The sequence below is a fragment of the Homo sapiens genome, chromosome 9, assembly GCF_000001405.40.
Source record: "Homo sapiens chromosome 9, GRCh38.p14 Primary Assembly".
NCBI lineage: Eukaryota > Metazoa > Chordata > Mammalia > Primates > Hominidae > Homo > Homo sapiens.
The window spans coordinates 15,477,686-15,499,609 of NC_000009.12; the positions used below are offsets into that span (position 1 = coordinate 15,477,686).

At 38.2% G+C, this 21,924-nt stretch overlaps 1 protein-coding gene across 12 annotated transcripts in view; it reads right to left on the bottom strand.

The window, feature by feature from the left end:
* PSIP1 (PC4 and SRSF1 interacting protein 1) overlaps window positions 1-21,924 on the bottom strand; it is a 46,905-nt gene that overhangs the window by 13,620 nt on the left and 11,361 nt on the right. For 11 of the 12 annotated variants that reach the window (NM_001128217.3, NM_033222.5, NM_001438383.1 and 8 more), the window contains 5 exons: window positions 12,301-12,439; window positions 9,142-9,246; window positions 8,321-8,383; window positions 1,906-2,002; window positions 792-867 (listed from right to left, as the gene is read on the bottom strand). In NM_001128217.3, the coding sequence (NP_001121689.1) occupies window positions 792-867; window positions 1,906-2,002; window positions 8,321-8,383; window positions 9,142-9,246; window positions 12,301-12,439 (480 nt within the window). The remainder of the gene's footprint in view (window positions 1-791; window positions 868-1,905; window positions 2,003-8,320; window positions 8,384-9,141; window positions 9,247-12,300; window positions 12,440-21,924) is intronic. The other variant, NM_001317900.3, reaches the window with a different exon arrangement.

Here is a 21,924-nt window from a genome sequence, read left to right on the forward strand (position 1 = left end):
AGAAAAGGCAGCAAGGGAAAAATGCAAAAAACCAAAAAACACGCACAATTTCCTGGATAACTGAATAGTTATTCTGAAATGCTTTAAAAATTAAATTTACATACAAAAATTATTTTAGCCCTATTTTTAAATAAAGCACCTATTCTAGAGGAGATAAAAAAAAGATTTGTAGGCTAGGCACGTGGCTCACCCCTATAATTCCAGCACTATGGAAGGATGAGGTGGGAGAATCGTTTGAGCCCAGGAGTTTGAGACCAGCCTGGGAACGATGAGACCAGTCTCATCAAAAAAAGTTAGCCAGGTGTGGTGGCACACACCTGTGGTCCCAGCTACTTGGGAGGCTAAAGTGGGAAGAGGCTCCTTGAGCCCAGGAGTTTGAGGTTACAGTGTGCGATTGCAGCACTGCACTCCAGCCTGGGCGACAGAGTGAAACCCCATCTTTAAAAAAAAAAAAAAAAAAAAAAAAATTTGTGACATTACTTCAAATATATTCTAAAATTCCTGAAACATACCATCTTGCCCAATTTCTCTATTATATATTTTATGTTGTATTATCTAAGTATCTATATAAATTGATATACCCAAGAGTCTTAATTAATGAAATGATAAATAGCCATTCCTTACCAATTTTTACTTTACAAAATTTTCCCAGTTTTTCCTGTAATTTTAAGAAAGATCAAAATAATAACAAACATCCTGTAAGAGAAAACTGATAAAATCGCAGAGATATGTGCTTGTTTAAAGTCAAATGTCTCATTTATTGCATAATTATACATTAAAAATAAACTCACATGTCACTCTCTGAAGGACAGGGCTGTTTTACCATTTTGGGTCTGCCTCTTGGTTTTGGAATCTTGACTTCTGTAGCTAATATACACATGGAAAAAAAATCAGTAACTACTAGTTTCTATTTAAGATACAAATCTCAGATATAAATATTAGAAATGATACATACTATTTAAGAATATTAGTAGCTTATTACAGATACAATTATTGCTAAATTGAAAAAATAATACCTCCCCCACCATGGTTAAAATGAGCAACAACAAAAAATTTATAAAGAGGTAAACAGAGTAATCCTCAATTTGTCCTTATTATGACTGAGAGGGCTTAAAACATTTTTCACTATCGTTTTAACAGTAATGTCACAAAATTCAACTTTTAGAATAGGAAACAGCACTTATATTTAATATTCATATACATATTATATTACTTATGCAGTTACATATCTTTGGAAGTTCATATCAAAATTCACTGAGTTTCCCTAGCACTATTAATTTTATCCACTGCAATATTAAACTCCAAAATATATAAATAAAAATCTTTTTTCTTTTCTGGGTATTACTCATCTTACCCCCCATTTTCAGTAAGAATCCTATTAAAAAGTAGAAAAAAAATTCACTCAATTTTGGTTTTGTTTTACGAAGATTTTTCCAAAATATTTCCAATTTGCCAAATTAAGAAAATACTTTTAAATAGGCAATGCTGAAGAGAGCTGCAAACTGTAAAAATCAAAATCCCTATCAATAAAGAACGCACAAATTTAAAATATTAATGACTTTAATCAAATGCTATTTCTCATTCTCTGATTATAACTCCATTTTGAAATCTTACGACTCTTAAGTGAAAGGTAAAATAAACCCATTATTCATGATAATTTTAACCTCCCCACAGCCTCTCTTACCACTATTTAGGGAAAACATAACAGAGATAAAGCAAAGTTTATTTCAAATTTAAATACTTTGAAACAGAGCACAAATCATGTTTATCTCCTTTGAAATCTGTATGTTACACATAATCAATTGCCTATTTGCTTCATTCCAAAATATTTGAGGCAGCAACACTTTAAATGGACTGGAATATTAATCACAAGCCAAACAGATATTTAAACATCAGTAATCCTACCTGCAGGTCGTCCTCTTTTAGGACTCACTTTTAGATTAACAGATGCTGTTGCTGTTGTCACTACTCCTGCCTCCTCAGTTTCTACTTGTTTTTCTGCCTGAATTACAAAAATTTAATTAACTTATTTAGCAAATAGTAGGCACTCAAAGTTTAATTCGATGGCAAAAATATGCCAGTCTATGGTAACGTTGAGTTCAAGTATAGATATAACCTCTATATGATCTTTTGTTTTTTCAACAATCAACTCAAGAGTAACATCTTCAAACTTAGTTTATAACTCTAGTGAACAACTCTTAAAAAAAACAAAAAATTTCTTAGAAATGAAGTCATTTGTAAAAATAAAGCTAATATTCTTGATGCGATATGGAGAACAAAGTATGTGATTACACTGCAACTAACACAATGTTATTTCTAATTCTTCGTTCATACAGACACATTTTATTTCTAAACTGAGACTGTTACCTAACAGTTCTCCTTTAGGAGTTATTCTTATTTCCCGTAAGAAAGGATTTACTACAACAGAGAGTAAGGAATCCACTGACCATTTGCAAACTCTAATGCCCTTTGATAACTGCTAGTATGATTCTCCTGGAGAGAATGGCCCCAAATGAGAATCAGTATTATTGATTTAAGCATTAGAATGGAACAAAGGTTAAGAACACAAATTAGAAACAAAATGTAAACATGAGGCAGCAGTTGGTACTGATCATAACTGCAAAAGGAGGAAAGAGAAAGACCAAAGGAGGAGATGGGCTCCTTCCCCAACTCCCCCAACTATTTAGAATTCAGCATTAACTGTATCACTAAAGATAAAAACAAGAAGGCATTCAAAAACATGCATAATCCAATCTCATTGATTAAAAAAATTAAAAATTGCCTTTTCATCAATGATTTGTAAACATAATGCCCAGTGTTGATAAGCATGTGGAGAATCATTCATACATTGACTACCAATGATCAATAAGCTGGTATCAATAAACTGATACTTTATGAAAGCACATAATTATGAATGAGTATTGGCAATATAGAATGTGCAAATCTCTATATAGGGCTGGACACAGTGGCTCACGCCTGTAATCCCAGCATTTTGGGAGGCCAAGGTGAGTGGATCACTTGAGGTTAGAAGTTCATGACCAGCCTGGCCAACACGATGAAACCCTTTCTCTACTAAAAACAAAAGATTAGCCAGGCTTGTGGCGCACACCTATAATCCCAGCTACATAGGAAACTGAGGCAGGAGAATTGCTGGAACTCAGGGGGCAGAGGTTGCAGTGAACTGAAATTCATGCCACTGCATTCCAGCCTGGGCGACAGAGCAAGACTGTCTCAAAAAAACAAAACAAAACAAAAAACCTTTATATGGCAATTCCACTTCTACGAATGTATCCATTTCTTTATTAGTTTTTTAAACATTTCTTTAAATAACTGAAACATAATGAAGCATATTAAAAGTATTATTAAAACTCATCTAAGGTAACCCTTGAGTTGTTCTCAGAGAACACTGAAAATTCCTCCCTGAACATTATTAGCTCAGGTTTTATTTCTAGAATTTTAAGAACTTACAAAGTTGCCCTGCCCCAATCCTGATTCAATAGCTCTGAGTCAGGGAACCAGGATTCTGTGTTTTTATAAAGCTCCCCAGGTAACAAAGCTTAAGAACTCAAGACTGAGAGCTCTTTTCCTACTGAGGAGTTAAGAGGGCATAATTTGTCTAAAATTCAGTTATAACTGGTCAATTCTTTGGTGCAAAGAAGACTCTCTCCACTTACACTTTCTGCTTTTGGAAATAAATCAAAACACTGAATAAGAATTATAGGTAGGGTTGGGTGCAGTGGCCCATGCCTGTAATTCCCACTCAGCGCTTTGGGAGGCTGGGGCTAGCAGATCACGAGGTCAGGAGTTCGAGACCAGCCTGGCCAACATGGTGAAACCCCATCTCTATTAAAAATACAAAAATAAGTCAGGCACCTGTAATCCCAGCCACTCAAGAGGCTAAGGCAGGAGAATCACTTGAACCCAGGAGGCAGAGATTGCAGTGAGCTGACATCCTGCTACCACACTCCAGCCTGGGCAACAGAGCAAGACTCCGTCTCAAAAAAAACAAAGAATTATAGGTAAAAGAGATGGTTTTTAAGGAGGTACCAATAAGTGTAACAAGTTCATCAATAATAATTAAAACTATATTAACACTAATACTAAGAGATCAGCCCTACCATGCACGTGTGTTCATGACTATTATGGCAAAATCATGCAAGTCAGAACCATTCCTCATGAAAATAAAATCAAAGAATAATAAATATTTTATCTAAAGAAAGGACCAATGAAGTTATACGAAACATATATATTTAAAACTTTTCCACTCTTAGGATATGCTTAAATATTTAAACATCTTAAATGCTAATATCTTAAACTACTGACTACAGATTTATTTCTTCCATATTTTACTTGCTCTGAGACATCTAACCCTCATTTTCTCTTCATTTTTTACCCCTTTCTAGCTCTACCAGCTTCCTTGATCTTAACTAAAAACACACCACTTCACACACACACAAAAACCTCATGGGATTACTATTCAAATGTATTCATAAGTCCTCCACATCCTTGTTTTGCTGTATCTGTCCCACAAATCCTCAAGAGAGGTTACTATACAATTCTACCTTCTCTGTTCTATTATTCCCAGCTGCTGAAGCCTGCTGGGAAAAAAAAAATGTACAAACATGCATTCATTTTATGCAATCTCAGTTGAGATCTCAAAGTCACTTTACCCTATCTGATCAGGCCTCCTCCTCCCACCAACAGCTGCATAATTTACTCAATCTATTCTTCCCGACTTGTACCACATCCAAAGTCTTGCTTTGATGTGGATGGGGCAGAAGGGAGTAAGGGCTGTAGAAAGGAATTCCCTTAATTTCCTAGTGTCCCAAGAAATTTTCAGAGCCTCCTCCATCCCTCCCCTTCAGTGTTAAGAGACTGAAACATCCATCTCCTCCTTGTTAAGTCAGTTCCTTCAAATGTCCCCTCCATTCTCTCATCCAACATGTATTTACATAAAATAATTTATACTGACTCCACATCTTTGATCTTTCCTAATTTTGCAGAGAAAAAGTGTTAAGGCATTTACTGTCTTTTGTCATTTTAACACTTTCCCTTAGCTATGAAAATCCCTATTATGTTGCCACATTCTCCTTGCCTTCAAAGATTTAAAAAGCACAGTGTAACTTTACCATTAACATTTATTCTCTAACCCCTTAATCTAGTTTCTGTCCTTACCATTCAACTAAATGGAGTTCACCTGAAAGTATCCTAGAGCAGCCTATGTGGCAAGTATCTTACTGGTACCCTCTCTAAATCAGGACATTACTGACCACTTCTTCATTCTGGACATTCCCCCTTCCCTTGTTTAGCTTGATACCCTCTTAGATTTTCTCTTGACAGTTCATTCTCAGCCATAATTTCACAGAGCAACCTTTCCCCCTCTCCATTATATTCCTTCAGGATTCTGGTTTCTGCATCCTCTCAATAAACCGTTCTCCTTTGACCTCATCTATTACCCTATCTTCATGCCAGAGACTGCATCTGTAACTTACATCTTCTCCCTCTTTGGTGCCAGAACAATATATATATCTCTTCACTCCAGTTCCCACAGGTGCTTCACCTTCCCCTTACTCATGCCTATGATTCCAAACCAACATCCTCTGCACTCCCAATAACTAGCTTATTCAAGTAAAGACCTTAGAGCCACCTTAGATTCTAGTTCCCTCCCCCGCCCCCTTTACCATCCACTTCTCATCAACCATCAACTTAACCTCTTAAAGTGCTCTTAAATCCCATCTCTCGTCTACACCACTTAAAAAATCTATAAGATCCTTGTCCTTCCAGTCTCATGCCAACTCCTTAGAAAGGCCTTTTGTAGCCTAGTCTGTTGCCAACTCATTAACTCCCCATTTAAACCCTCTTATTTTAAATATTTATTTTTTGTCTAAAAAAAAATGTAAGTTCAATGGAAACAAAGACCTTGTCTTCTTTACTGACTACTCAAATCCATGCCAAGTCCAGTAAAGTTAGTACTAAAATTCTGAATGAATTTTACAGTGAACTGGTCTCACTGCCCCAATCCAATCCCCATCGTTCACACTGCTTTAAAAAAATGACGCATTCTTTGGGAGGCTAAGGAAGGCGGATCACAAGGTGAGGAGTTCAAGACCTGGCTGACCAACATAGTGAAACCCTGTCTTTACTAAATATACAAAAAATTAGCTGGGTATGGTGGCGGATGCCTGTAATCCCAGCACTTTGGGAGGCAGAGGTGAGCAGATCACTTGAGGCCAGGAGTTTGAGACCAGCCTGGCCACCATGGTGAAACCCCATCTCTACTAAAAATACAAAAATTAGCCAGGCGTGGTGGTGCACGTCTGTAATCCCAGCTACTCAGGAGGCTGAGTGAGGCAGGAGAATCGCTTGAACCCGGGAGGTGGAGGTTGCAGTGAGCTAAGATCATGCCACTGCACTCCAGTCTGGGTGACAGAATGAAACTCTGTATCCAAAAAAAAAAAAAAACAAATTTATATTTAAAAAAAAAAAGAAAAAAGAGGCATCAAGTTGTGTACAGAGGCTCACATCTGCAATCCTAGTGCTTTGGGAGGATCACCGAGGCTGGGAGTTAGAGATCAGCCTAGGCAACATAGCAAAACCCCATGTCTATCAAAAAAAAAAATATATATATATAGGCCAGGCCCGGTGGCTCACACCTGTAATCCCAGAGCTTCAGGAGGCTGAGATGGGCAGATCACCTGAGGTCAGGAGTTCGAGATAAGCCTGGCCAACATGGTGAGACCCCATCTCTACTAAAAATACAAAAATTAGCTGGGCGTGGTGGCTCACACCAGCACTTTGGGAGGCCGAGGTGGGTGGATCACTTGAGGCCAGGAGTTCAAGACCAGCCTGGCCAACATGGTAAAACCTCATCTCTCCTAAAAATACAAAAAAATTAGGTGTGCATGGTGGTGTGCACCCGTAATCCCAGCTAATCGGGGGGCTGAGGCAGGAGAATCACGTGAACCTGGGAGGTGAAGGTTGCAGTGAGCCGAGATGGCGCCACTGCACTTCAGCTGGGGCAACAGTGTGAGAATCCGTCTCAAAACAAAAACAAAAACAAAACAAAAAAATACAAAAATTAGCTGGGCATGGTGGTGCATGCCTGTAATCCCAGCTACTTGGGAGGCCGAGGCAAGAGAATTGTTTGAATTCGGGAGGTGGAGGTTGCAGTGAGCCAAGATCGCACCACTTCACACCAACCTGGATGACAGAGCGAGATCCGTCTCAAAAAAAAAAAAAAAAAAAAAAATTAGCCGGGTATGGTGGCACACTTCTACAGTCCCAGCTATTAGGGAGGGTAAGATGGGAAAATCCCTTGAGCCCACAAGTTTCAGGTTGCAGTGAGGCATGATTGTGCCACTGCACTACTCTAGCCTATGTGACAGCATGAGACCCCATCTCTTAAAAAAATTTTTTAAAAGGAGGTATCTAAAATTTAAAATAATTCAATCATTTCCCATCACTTCTGTAAGTTCCAAGGTCTTTAGGACAACATCAGGTTTTTTTGGTACCCATTTCCCTCAGACTTTATGGTGTGTTAATAATGAAATACAATACTCAAGATGCTTGAGTAGGAATTTCCTCTATGTGAAATGGCTTCATGTGTCCTTCCCTGCTCCTTCATCCGCCTGACAAAATTCTGCCTGTATTTTAAAATCTTGTTATCACACCACTTCCAACCCATACTGCACAACAAATAAGCCACTGTAATTATTTATTTTCATAGTTTACCTCCTCATGAGATACTGAACTTTTGGTTTTCTTTGCATCTTTGGTATATGATAATAATTTGAGACATAAATAGGTCAGAAAAGGGTGTGAACAAAACTTCGTATATGGAAGGAAAATTTCATATTAATTAAAAGCCTACTATGTACCTAACCTTGCACTGTCACTCACACTCATTTCTCACAACGTGAAGTAACAACAACAACAACATAATGGACAACACTTATATAACACTTACTAGTGTTTAGGTATCAGGATTTAGCATAAACATTTCACATATGTTAAATCATTTAATCCTCCACAACCTTGGAGTATATATTTCTACCCAATTTAGAGAAAACTGAGGCACAGTCATTAAAATGAATGAAAACTGGTGTATTTTATTTCCTTTACCACTCAAGTTACTTTAAGGGTGCTATATCACTAAGAAAGAAACACAGATAGTTTTGCCAAGTAAAACATAACCCATAAAAAATTAAAGGGTTTAGAATAAAAGCTGAAATTTAAGGTTTCATTGTATCTACTCTCCCTCAACCCAATTAAAATAAAAATTCTTTTCAGATCCCCATGGTTGGTAAGTCAGTGAAATTACCTTTCTCTTTCTCCCCCTTCTGGCAGCTTTTGGAGTAGTTATGTCAACTGCTTTAGTCACATCCTAAAAAAGAAAAAAGAAAACTGAATACTGAATAAATTATTCCAGGAATGAAAGAAACCTTGTTAAACTAAAAGTTACAAGCACGTTTAACTGAAAGCATTGGGGAAATCTGTTTTGCTCTGTAGAGTTCTGAAATTAAAAACATTGTGTCTCAACATTATAAAGTGAGAAAAATGCATTTCCACTGTCAGATCAAATGTAAGTCATGGTTGCTGGTACACCAGGAAGTCTGTCTATTTAAATTTATAAAACTACTTTTTCTACACTAGAATTCTGAATTATAGGGGTGGATAAATTTGAATTGTGAATTTTAAAGGGTGGCTGGGACATTGAAGATCATCTAACAACCATTTCATTAGGCCTGGAAGGGCTAAATGAGTCATCTTTACACACAGATCATATACAGTTGGACATCAACCTAGGTTTTAAAAAATTTAGTCTAATGCTGTTTCCAGTACATCCATCCTACAACACTTCTCTTTAAAAAAAATCCTTAACACTACCGCACCCTACAGTTGGACTTCATGTTTTACATATAAAAATAACTTCAAATAATAACAGGTATGCATCTTAAAGATGCATAAGTTGTTTGACAATACTGTATTTAATATTTACACAAGGAAATAAGCCTTAAATATTTTCTAATTCACTTTTGAAGTACTTTAAAAATTACTTACTAATTAATCATGGCCAACTCATTTCATTATTTCTTCCTTGAAACAAAATGGGTTTAAAATGTTAGGAGAAATAGAACATACCTCATTGCTGGCTTTTTCTTCATGGTCGGTATCTTCCTTTGAAACACTAGTTTCCTTTTCTTCAACTTCAACATCAGATGATGCATTTGATTGTTTAGTTGCTGCCTGTGAGCAATCAACTCTATTAATTTCAAAAAATAAGTTTTTATCCCAATAATATATACAATTCTTTATTTTTATTTTTTTTTTAGAGACAGGGTCTCACTCTATCACCCAGGCTGGAGGCAGTGGCGCAATTATGGTTCACTGAAGCCTCAATTCCTGGGCTCAAGGCATCCTCCCTCCTCAGCCTGAGCCCAGGAGGTCGAGGCTGTAGTGAACCATGATTGCACCACTGTACCCCAGCCTGGGCAACGCAGTCTCAAATAATAAAAATTAAAAAAAACTCCAAGATTATATGGTGACAAGGCTTGGCAATTTGGAGGATAAAAAAGACCATAAAGGTGCAATCACAGGACAAATGATCCAAGAGAAATTACAAAACGTAGTTGGGCACTGTGGCTCACACCTGTAATCCCAGCACTTTGGGAGGCTGAGGCAGGCAGATCACTTGAAGTCGGGCGTTCAAGACCAGCCTGGCTAATATGGTGAAACCCCATCTCTACCAAAAATACAAAAATTAGCCAGGCATGGTGGCACGCGCCTGTAATCCCAGCTACTCGGGAGGCTGAGGCACGAGTATAACTTAAAACCCAGGAGGCAGAGGTTGCAGCGAGACAAGATCAAAATTGCACCACTGCACTCCAACCTGGGCGACAGAGCAAGATGCTGTCTCCAAAAAAACAACAACAAAAAAGAAATTACAAGACGTTAAGTTTCAGATAACAATCAATTCTGTCTCTTTAGACAGATGTCTTCCCATCACACAGTCAAGGCAATAATGATAAGAAACCATGTAGCCATTCAACAAATATTTAGTGATTAGCTATTCTTCTCACACGTGTACATGCTGGGCACACAGGACATAAACCTTTGTTCACAGAGGCAACATAATATTCTGTAGCAGGTACAGACAAGTACAGAAACAATTATGATATGGTTCGATGAATCCATTAACAAGTAAGTACTGGGAAGTAATAAAGTCACTAATCATTTAATGTGGCCTTGGAGCAGCAATGAAAGATTTATATGTTCCAGATAGAACAGTATCTAAAAAGTTCTCCAAGGTAAAGCATGGCACATGTGAAGAAATAAAATTTATCGGTTTAAAAGTAAAAAGCTAGGCCGGGCACAGTGACTTATGCCTGTAATCCCAGCACTTTGGGAGGCTGAGGTGGGTGGATCACGAGGTCAGGAGTTCAAGACTGGCCTGGCCAAGATGGTGAAACCCCATCTCTACTAAAAATACAAAAATTACCCAGGCACGGTGGCAAAGCGCACACGTAATCCCAGCTACTCAGGAGGCTGAGGCAGGAGAATTGCTTGACCTGGGGGGCAGAGGCTTCAGTGAGCCGAGATCACGCCACTGCACTCCAGCCGGGGTGACAGAGTGAGACTCCATCTCAACAACAACAACAAAAAAAAGAGTAAAAAGCTGCAGAATTTCCACTTTGTTGCTACCTCGCTTCTTTAGATTTACTCGTGCTCTTCCTAGTTTTTGGACCTCAGGTCTTAAACAGAGGACGTTTATTGATGAAAGAGAAACTGTCCCAATTATCTTCATAAAGACCTCTCATAGCCCTCTGATCCTATTATAAAGCCATCTGTTTATTTTAAATCGTAAGAGTTCTGGAACATTCATTTGGGAATATATGCAACAATTCAAGAGTGCAATCGACAATATAAAAAATTTTTCTAAGCCTATAATCCCAGCACTTTGGGAAGCCGAGGTGGGCAGATCACAAGGTCAGAAGATTGAGACCATCCTGGCTAACAAGGTGAAACCCCGTCTCTACTAAAAATACAAAAAATTAGGCTGGACACAGTGGCTCAGGCCTGTAATCCCAACACTCTGGGGGGCCGAGGCGGGCGGATCACAAGGTCAGGAGATCGAGACCATCCTGGCTAACACGGTGAAACCCCGTCTCTACTAAAAATACAAAAAATTAGCCGGGTGTGGTGGCGGGCACCTGTAGTCCCAGCTACTCGGAAGGCTGAGGCAGGAGAATGGTGTGAACCCGGGAGGCGGAGCTTACAGTGAGCCAAGATAGAGCCAATGCACCCCAGCCTGGGCGACAGAGCGAGACTCCTCTCAAAAAAAATAAATTTTTTCTAAATCACATCAATACCAACACAAAGGAGAAGTAAGAGAACCAGTGTTTTCTGTAGGATAAAAACAATACAAATTGGATAAAGGCAAACCACTCCATGAAAATTTACTATAACATATAAATTAATAAAAGCTCTGGACCCATGGGAAAAACCACAGAAAAGAAGGTATAAGGTGGCTGCTGACACCAATAAATATAATTTGCATAGTGCTGTAAGTACATTTGTCACATACCAATTTAACTCATGAGGTTCATATTCCAATACAATTCTATGGATTTAGAAATTAAAGGCTGCGCGCAATGGCTCTCATCTGTAATCCCAGCATTTTGGGAGGCTGAGGTGGGTGGATCACCTGAAGTCAGGAGTTTGAGATCAGTCTGGCCAACATGACAAAACCCTGTCTCTAGTAAAAATACAAAAAGTTAGCCAGGCGTGGTGGCGGGCACCTGTAACCCAGCTACTTGGGAGGCTGAGGCAGGACAATCACTTGAACCCGGGAGGCATAAGTTGCAGTGAGCCAAGATTGCACCATTGCACTCCAGCCTGGGCAACAAGAGCGAAACTACACCTCAAAAAAAAAAAAAAAAAAAAGAAATTTAATTAATTAATTAAAGAGAATAAGAAAACTTAGGCATACACCATGTAAGTCGCAAAACCTAAATTTAGAACAGTACATACAGCTTTATATTCAATGACGTATTAAACCCTCTATCAGGAGTTAAATAACTGAATAGTTCCCAGTTTCTTGAGATCTGTTTAACTACATAAAATAATGATTTTGTCAATTCATTTTGATATAAAATGCCCAAGGTTCAACCTCACAAATAAGAACACAACAAACTAGTATGAAATTCCCAAGGCTTTTAGTATTTACTTTCCTACAGCTAGGATAGTGATTATTCCCCAGGATTAAATAAGTAATATCAAATTTTATGTAATATGACTTACCTGTTGACTTGAAAATTTCACTTTTGGATTGTTATCTATCTCCCATAAACCTTCATTAAAACCTTTTCTTTTATTTGGTTTGCCATACTTTTCCTTATTTTCTGAGTAAGGAAATATATCCTTTGGTCCTAAAAAAGCACTAAAAAAGAAGTGGGGAAGATGTGAGTGCAAAGCAAGCTCAAATACATAATTTATTAGATAAGACACCCTATTACACAATTATCAAAAATACAGAACCTAAACTGCATTACAAATCTTAAATAAGTTAAAGGGCAATTAATAATTCCAAATACTTTTATTAAATTCAGTAACAAGCTACTATTTAAATCCATAATCCTATTAAGTAAAACCACAGACGTTGCACAATGTGAATGTACTTAACACTGCTGAACTATACACTTAAAAATGGTTACATCGCCATGCGTGGTGCCTTACGCCTGTAATCTCACCACTTTGGGAAGCTGAGGCGGGTGGATCACTTGAGGTCAGGAGTTTGAGACCAGCCTGGCCAACATGGTGAAACCCCATCTCTACTAAAAATACAAAAATTAGCCGGGCGTGGTGGCGTGCACCTGTAGTCCCAGCTACTTGAGAGGATGAGGCAGGAGAATCGCTTGAACCCGGGAGGCGGAGGTTGCAGTGAGCTGTGATCACGCCACTGCACTCCAGCCTGGGTGACAGAGTGAGACTCTGTCTCAAAAAAAAAAAAAAAAAAAAAAAGGTTAATTCAATAAATTTGGGTTTTTTTAAACTACAAACTTTGACACATTAGCATTAATCAACACATTTAACTGCACCCCAAATATAGTTTCACTTCAAAATAACTTCGTATATTATACAACTCACAAAACTATCGTGTTTTTAAAATAATCAGTGAGTATGTTAAGAATTTTATTTTACTGAATGAGGGAATCAGACATATTATAACCCATTCATTCATATATGTACTATCAATTTTTGCTATCTGTGGTAGTAATGTTCTATAAAGTCACTGTGAAAACTGAATTAGCAAATACACAACCATTGCTCCTAGGGGAAATACAGGGTTAGGTTCCTGTAATCACAAGGTTTTCATGAACCAATCAATACATAAATTCATTTTATGTGTGTTTCTGTTTAAAGACACCTTATTTAATACAGACTGCTAACTCATTAACACTGAACTCATAGCCAACAGCGTATGTAACATGCGCTTTCTCTGTAAAGCACATTATAACCTTCTCGCACTTAGCAACATGAAAGAACACTTTAGCATTATGCTTGGGAGCTAGTTTAAATAGCAAAATGACCAACAAAAGCAAAAAAATGCATGGCAATAAACAGACTGCAAAAAAGATACTTGCTTACAGTATGAGTGCTGAAAAAAGAAGGCAAGCATTCCCTTGTACAACCTCAGCTAAGAATGTGTTGTATCAGGAGACTCAAGTCTTTCCACTACTCAGTGCATGTTTGTGAATGACCTGTACAACAAGTACTACTGATCTGGGCTTACAAATAATTTTGGTGAGTAGGTACATTCGCAAATATGGAATCCACAAATAACGAGCCTCAACTGTTTGCATATGTGTGTACATATATACACAGATAGTTCTTAATTTACTAGGAGGTTATGTCCCAATAAGTCCACTGTAAATCTAAAATATCTGAAGTCAGAAATCCATTTAAGTAACCATGAAAAACCCACTCTAAAGTCAAAAAATCTAAGTTGAACCACTATAGGTGTGTTAGTCCATTCTCACGCTGCTATGAAGAAATACCAGAGACTGGGTAATTTATAAAGAAAAGAAGTTTAATTGACTCACAGTTCCACACGGCTGGGGAGGCCCCAAGAAACTTACAATCATGGCAGAAGGCACCTCTTCACAGGGCCACAGGAGAGAATGCATGCAAGCAGGGAAAATGCCAGACGCTTATGAAACCATCAGGTCTCATGAAACTCACTATCACAAGAACAACATGGGGGAAACCACCTCCATCATTCAATTACCTCCACCTGGTTCCGCCCTTAACACCTGGGGATTATTAGAATTCAAGGTGAGATTTGTGAGGGGACACAGAGCCAAACCATATCATTCTGCCCCTGCCCCCTCTCTCAAATCTCATGTCCTCACATTTCAAAACACAACCATGCCCTTCCAACAGTCCCCATCCCCCAAAGTCTTAACTCATTCCAGCATTAACTCAAAAGTCCAAGTCCAAAGTCTCATCTGAGGCAAGGCAAGTCTCTTCCACCTAGGAGCCTGTAAAATCAAAAGCAAGTTAAGTTACTTCCTAGATACAATGGGGGGACAGGCATTGGCTAAATACACCCATCCCAAATGGGAGAAACTGACTAAAACAAAGGGGCTACAGGCCCCATGCCAAGTCTGAAATCTAATAGGGGCAGTCAAGTTCCAAAATGATCTCCTTTGACTGCATGTCTCAAATTCAGATCATGCAAATGCAAGAGGTGAGCTCCCACAGCCTTAAAAAGCTCTGCCCCTATGGTTTTGCATGGTACACAACCCGCCTCAGGCTGGTGTTGAATGTCTGCAGCTTTTCCAGGTGCATGGTGCAAGCTGTCGGTGGATCTACCATTCTGGGGTCTGGAGGATGGTGGCCTTCTTCTCACAGCCAGTGCCCCAGTGCGGACTCGGTGTCGGGGATGCAACCCCACATTTCCCTTCCACACAGTCCTAGCACAGGTTCTCCACGAAGTCTTCGTCCCTGCAGCAGACTTCTACCTGGACATCCAGGCATTTCCACATGTCTTCTGAAATCTAGGCAGAGTTTCCCAAACCTCAATTCTTGTCTTCTGCACATCCGCAGACCCAACACCATGTGGAAGCTGCCAAGGCTTGGGGCTTGCACCCTCTGAAACAACAGCCTCAGCTATACCTTGGTCCCTTTTAGCCAAGACTGGAGCAGCTGGGACACAGGGCACCAAGTCCCAACGCTGCACGCAGCAGGAAGGCCCGGGACCCAGGCCAGGAAACCATTTTTCCCTCCTAGGCCTCTCGTCCTATGATGAGAGGGGCTGCCAGGAAGGTCACTGGTATGCCTTGGAGGTGTTTTCCCCATTGTCTTGGTGATTAGTGTTTGGCAGCCTGCTTGAATTTCTCCCTAGAAAATGGGTTTTTCTTTTCTACTGCATCATCGGGCTGCAAATTTTCCTTTTATGCTCTGTCACTTCCTAAATGCCTTGCTGCTTAGAAATTTCTTCTGCCAGATACCCTAAATCATCTCTCTCAAGTTCAGAGTTCCACAGATCTCTAGGGCAGGGGCAAAAAGCCACCAGTCTCCCTGCTAGAGCAGAGCAAGAGTGATCTTTACTCCAGTTCCCAACACGCTCCTCATCTCCATCTGAGACCACCTCAGCCTGGAGTTCATTGGCCATATCATTATCAGCATTTGGGTCAAAGCCATTCAACAAGTCTCTAGAAGTTCTCAACTTTCCCACATTTTCCTGTCTTCTTGTGAGCCCTCCAAACTGTTCCAACCTCTGCCTGTTACCCAGTTCCAAAGTCGCTTCCACGTTTTCAGGTATCTTTACAGCATCACCCCACTTTCTGGTACCAATTTACCATATTAGTCAGTTCTCACACTGCTATGAGGAAATACCCAAGACTGGATAGTTTATAAAGAAAAGAGGTTTAATTGACTCAAAGTTCCGCATGGCTGGGGAGGCCTCAGGAAACTTACAATCACGGCAGAAGGTACCTCTTCACAGGGACCCAGGAGAGGGAATGAGCGCAAGCAGGGGAAATGCCAGACACTTATGAAACCATCAGATCTCATGAGACTCACTATCACCATAACAGCATTTGGGAAATTGCCCCAATCATTCAATTACCTCTACCTGGTCCTGCCCTTGATGTGTGGGGATTATTACAATTCGAGGTGTAATTTGGGTGGGGACACAGAGCCAAACCATATCAGTAGGTCAGGGACCATCTGTACATATATATTTAGATACATTATCCAGGATGGACCCTGTACATCTCCTCCCCACATCAGTGAGTCATATAAGTCTGTCAGTTCTATAAAGCTAGACGTAAGTATGTTGATAATTTTACTATGACAGCTGATATACATATACTCCCCAAAGCAACAGGAAAATGGAACTGATACTTATTTCCTCTAAAATGTACTAAATTTTAAAATTATTACTATCATTAGATACATATCATAAATTCCTGATCTGCTAAAATTCTTTAAGAATTAGGGAACTAATGAGTACAGTTAATATTCTAGTTAGAATTTTAAAAAGGCTCTAAAATAAAATTTCAATTAAAAGACTTAAGAGTTCTATTTAAATATGGCTGGGCGTGGTGGCTCATGCCTATAATCCCAGCACTTGGGAGGCCTAGCAGGGCAGATCACCTGAGGTCAGGCGTTTGAAACCAGCCTGGCCAATGTGGCAAAATGCCGTCTCTACTAAAAATACAAAATTAGCCAGGCGTGGTGGCACACACCTGTAATCCCAGCTACTTGGGAGGCTGAGGCAATAGAATCGCTTGAACCCGGGAGGCGGAGGTTGTGGTGAGCCAAGATCACACCATTGCACTCCAGCCTGGGCAACAAGAGCAAAACTGCATCTCAAAAAAAAAAAAAAAAAAAAAAAAAAAATACACACACACACATATATAAAAAATCAGGGTATATAAAAGTCAGCTTTATTATTTAAATTCTGTAACATTCATTGTATCCATGTATTTTAACTGCACATCCCATTTTCAAAGTAATATTATTATGCTAGGATTAAGGCAAACCAATAATTTACCAAATTTACTTTGGAGTTAAACTGAAATCATCTCATTCCATCAAAAACTGAAGATTTTACTAGACATCATTAATTCCTGTCCATAATCTCAAATTAGAAAAATTAACACATTTAGCTCTAACAGTATAACATTCCTCTTATGTAACAGGTTTCAAATTCCAAGTAAATGACTTGAGTTAAACCTCCATGAAAACGTATTTCTGGTCAGAACAAACCCAATTCAACACAAATTCTCCCTCCTGAAAAACCAGAAAAACAACAGTAAAGAGATTATTTTAAAAGTATAAACTCTTAAAACCAAACAAGGCAAAAATAAAATTTGGAAGCTAAAAAGACAACTAAAGAAGTTGAATCTTAAGCACCCTCATTTACAATTTAAAATCCCCAAAGGGCTCAAAATTGGGGTGACCAGGAACTTCAGGAGTAGGAAAAGACCTCAAAAATAATTACAGGAAAATGTTTTAAAACCTCAAATATTTATTTTTTTTTAAAGATATGGCTCTAAGTCTAAAAGCCACAGAAGACTGATCTACCACAAAGTTACTGTATAAAAGATAAATTTTTTTACATGAATCATTTTTCTTAACCTCAAAAAAAGCAGTTCTTAAAAAGGACCATGCAAGGCAATCTTAATAATCAATGGGAAAAGTTACGATTGTTCTGTGACCTTTAAAATTTGTCAGAATATTAAGTAGTCTATTACTGACGGTTATGTAAATGCATAAGGAAATGAAATAGTAAAACCAATACCAACTTAGTATGCTGTAACTTAAAACATTAGGAACACTGATATTAAAGTGTATCATTTCTTTGTATTAAAAAAAATCTATCAAGAATAGTTTGAACAGTGCTTGCCTTCTTCTAGTGATATTTATTATGATATGGAATGCGTCTATCTTCTATGCCTTGGCAAACTGTCATACTCCTAAGTTTAGATCACATTCCAATATTTTATCCTTCATGCTTTCAATGATGTGAAATATCCTCAATGTTTTTTGTTGGTATCACTTCTATTAATAGGATATCTTCATATTTTCCATTACAACTACCTTTTTCATTTATGTTGATAAGCTTGCCTTCACTAAGTTTCTCTGGCTGGACAATTAGTGTCTCTCCAACTGCAAACCATCTATATTCACAAGGTAAGCTATTTATTCTATTATTCCATTTATGTTAAATTCAAATTTCCCATCTAGCATTAGGATTTTTGCTGCACTATCATCTTTGTTGACCAATTTCCTTGTTTATTTTGGTAAACTGTCACATGGGGACATCATTAGGAGACAGAGGCCAACTATACATCCGACTGTGCATGATTTTGAGAAACCAATGCATGGTGACCAATCACCAAGAAGCTTTAAAAGTGACATTATATGCACCTGTCATTTACATCTTAATTTGTAGGTTGAAAGACTAGCAGCAAATGTTGTAGTTTATACAATTAGTTAATATGGCAGGGTAGGTGAAATTTTAACCATGTTGTTAGTGGACTGTTACTTAGCTAAGTCATGGCAATTGAAATTTGTGCCTACAGGAACTATGTAAAGCTAAGGACTGCCTATATATACCCTTCTCTCTTCAAGCTTTGAGTTTAAATTCCACTTTTAACAGACAGCAGTATTGCCATTCCTGCTTTCTTTGTGACATTGTATCATTGCTTGCTCTTGTTTTGTTTGAGCTTTGTCTCACAAAATAAGACATAGCAAAGTGGTTTATTAAAACAGAAAGTCTTAACAGAACTATATTCATTCATAAAATGTAATGTTTACATTTAGTTTTATTCACACCACCTCATTTTACGTGTACCTTTTCACTACAATTGTTTTTTATTCTTAACTTTGCTAAGTAGGTTTTTAAAAAAATTCACCCCTTGCTCCTACTCCCAGATTCAGATTTACAAGTTGTACCTTTCATTATTAACCATAATGGTTCAACTGATGTCATACATAAATTCACGTATCTTAATATACCAAAAATTAAATAACTATGTTCTTCCAACTGAAAAGACTTTTACAAATGTAAATTCATGTTAAGTACAGAAGATTTTTAAATTCGCACACTTTTTTTTAGTTCACATAATTCAACATCATTAAGTTATCCAGGAAATGTAAATCAAAAATCACAATATACTACCGTCACTCCCACTCAGACGGCCAAAAAATAACAAATAATAACAAGTGTTGGCAAGGATGTGGAGAAATTGGAACCCTCCTACAATTGCTGGTGGGAATGTTAAACGGTGCAGCTGATTTGGCAAGTCTGAGAGTTTTCTCAAAACGTTAAACGTGAAATTACATCTGACCCAGGAATTTTCTCCTAGAGAAATGAAAACTTATGTTCACAAAAAAACTTGGACACAAATGTTCACAGCATTATTCATAAAAGCCAAAAGTAAAAATAACTCAAATGTCTATCAAGTGATGAATAAATATGGTAAATCAATATAATGGAATATGTGACAATAAAAAGTAGAGTAGTAATGTACTATCACATCCAGGCTAGAGCATGGATGAATCTTGAAAAACATCATCCTAAGTGAGAAAAGCCAGCCACTGAAGACCACACGTTCTATGATTCCTTTTTTTTTTTTTTTTGAGACAGAGTCTTGCTCTGTCACTCAGGCTGGAGTGCAATGGTGCTATCTTGGCTCACTGCAACATCCTCTGCTTCCCAAGTTCAAACAATTCTCCTGCCTTAGCCTCCCAAGTAGCTGGAATTACAGGCATGTGCAACCACGCCTGGCTACTTTTTATATTTTTAGTAGAGATGGGGTTTCACCATGTTGTCCAGGCTGGTCTCGAACTCCTGACCTCGTGATCCGCCCACCTCGGCCTCCCAAAGTGCTGGGATTACAGGCGTGAGCCACCGCGCCCGGCTGATTCCATTTATATGAAGTGCCCAGAATAGGAAGAAAGTAGGTTAGCTACCACCTAGACCAAGGTGGGAAAGAAGATTGGGTAGAAATGGAAAGTAAATGCTAATGAATACATGGTTTCTTTTTGGAGAAATGAATTATATTTTAATAAAGCTGTTAAAATTTTTTGACAATAACATATCCTATCAAAGTAAACTAATCCACAATCTCACCAACTAAATCTACTGTTTTCAGCCCACTTATTTGTATATATACATATATAACTATGCAATTTCAATGTATATGATACAAACTTACTCAAAAGTAGACCTCTTTAAATTAAAATGAGTATCTTTTTATGTCAACAATTACTTAACACCTACACACTATTTCACTGAATAGCTAAACCTATTGTTGGGCCATTTTCCATGTCAAATTTTATATTATAAAATCACACTGCTATAATAAACATATTGCTCAATCTCTGCACCTATCTTCACAATAAATTCTAAGAATAAGTGGGTCAAGCCGGGAATGGTGGCTCACATTTGTAACCCCAGCCCCAGCACTTTGGGAGGCCAAGGCGGGCGTGTCACCTGAGGTCAGGAGTTCGAGACCAGCCTGGCCAAGACGGCAAAACCCCATCTCTACTAAAAATACAAAAATTAGCCAGCCGTGGTGGCGTGCACCTATAATCCCAGCCACTAGGAAGCCTGAAGCAGGAGAATCGCCTGAATTCGGGAGGCGGAGATTGCAGTGAGACAAGATCGTGCCACTGCATTCCAGCCTGGGTGACAGAGTGAGGCTCCGTTTCAAAACACAAAACAAAACAAAAAAACAAAGAGTAAGATATGCTCAAGACTGATGAACTCTTAATGAGACTCAAAAATGACAGCAGATGGAAAAAAAAAAAAATCTTCCTTGGGCACGCAGTCCGACAGGTTTGGTGAACAGGGACCAGATTAGTTTTTCGACGGACATCACTATACTACTTCCCAAGGGTACAACCTTGTGCAGCTGTGGTTCTGATTCATTCTTCAAGGCATTCCACTTTAAAATTACATATAAAAAAATCCTTAATATGCTAAGTAAATGCAGGATATAATTATACATAATATCAAATACCAAAAAATTGTAAGTCAGTCTGAAATACATCAAAATGTTAACAGTAGGTCTGACTGATTCATTCTTCAAGGCATTCCACTTTAAAATAACATACCAAATGCTTAACATGCACACAAAAGCAGGGCATAACTATATACGACAGAAGCTCCTTTAAAAAATGCACAGACAAGTTTGAAAAAAACACGTCAAAATATTACCAGGTTTAGGGGTTATTTCTAAAAAATAGGAGTAAAAAGGATTTGTTTCCTTCTATATTGTTTTTTAAAATTTTAACAAGAAAAGATACACATTCAAGGTAACTTACCCACCAAATTCCAGAGCTGAAAGGAAACTGAGGGATCACCAAAAACCTCATTTTAAAGATGAGAAAATTGAAATTCAAAAAGACTGACTCAGGCAAGGTCACCTACCTATTAAAACAGCAGAGTCTCAACTTGCAGTGTTCCTTAAAGAGGTTTTGGACTTTCCTTTAACCATTGTAATACAGTCTTTGAAACATCTCCTAATAAAATATTCATGCTATTTCTCTATATGTACGAACTCAGACCTCAAATACCAATGTCAAAGCTTGTAAGAGTCAAGACTGATGTAAAACATTCTAAGAAAACAGGAAATCATTAACTGAATTCAATACTAGTTTTATAATACTGAGGCAGCTCAAATGCTACAATGTGTTTCTTACATGGCACACACGTTGAAGCCCTAAGTGTGTACATGTGCATTCCAATTTTCCTAATGGTATATAAACAAAGACAAGCAGTTCTCTCTCTTAATTCACTTTTTGTGAATAATATGAATACCCACAAGAACACACACAAAAATTCAGTTGTTACACAACTAGAACTCTTAAAAGAAACAAGTCACAGGCCAGGCACGGTGGCTC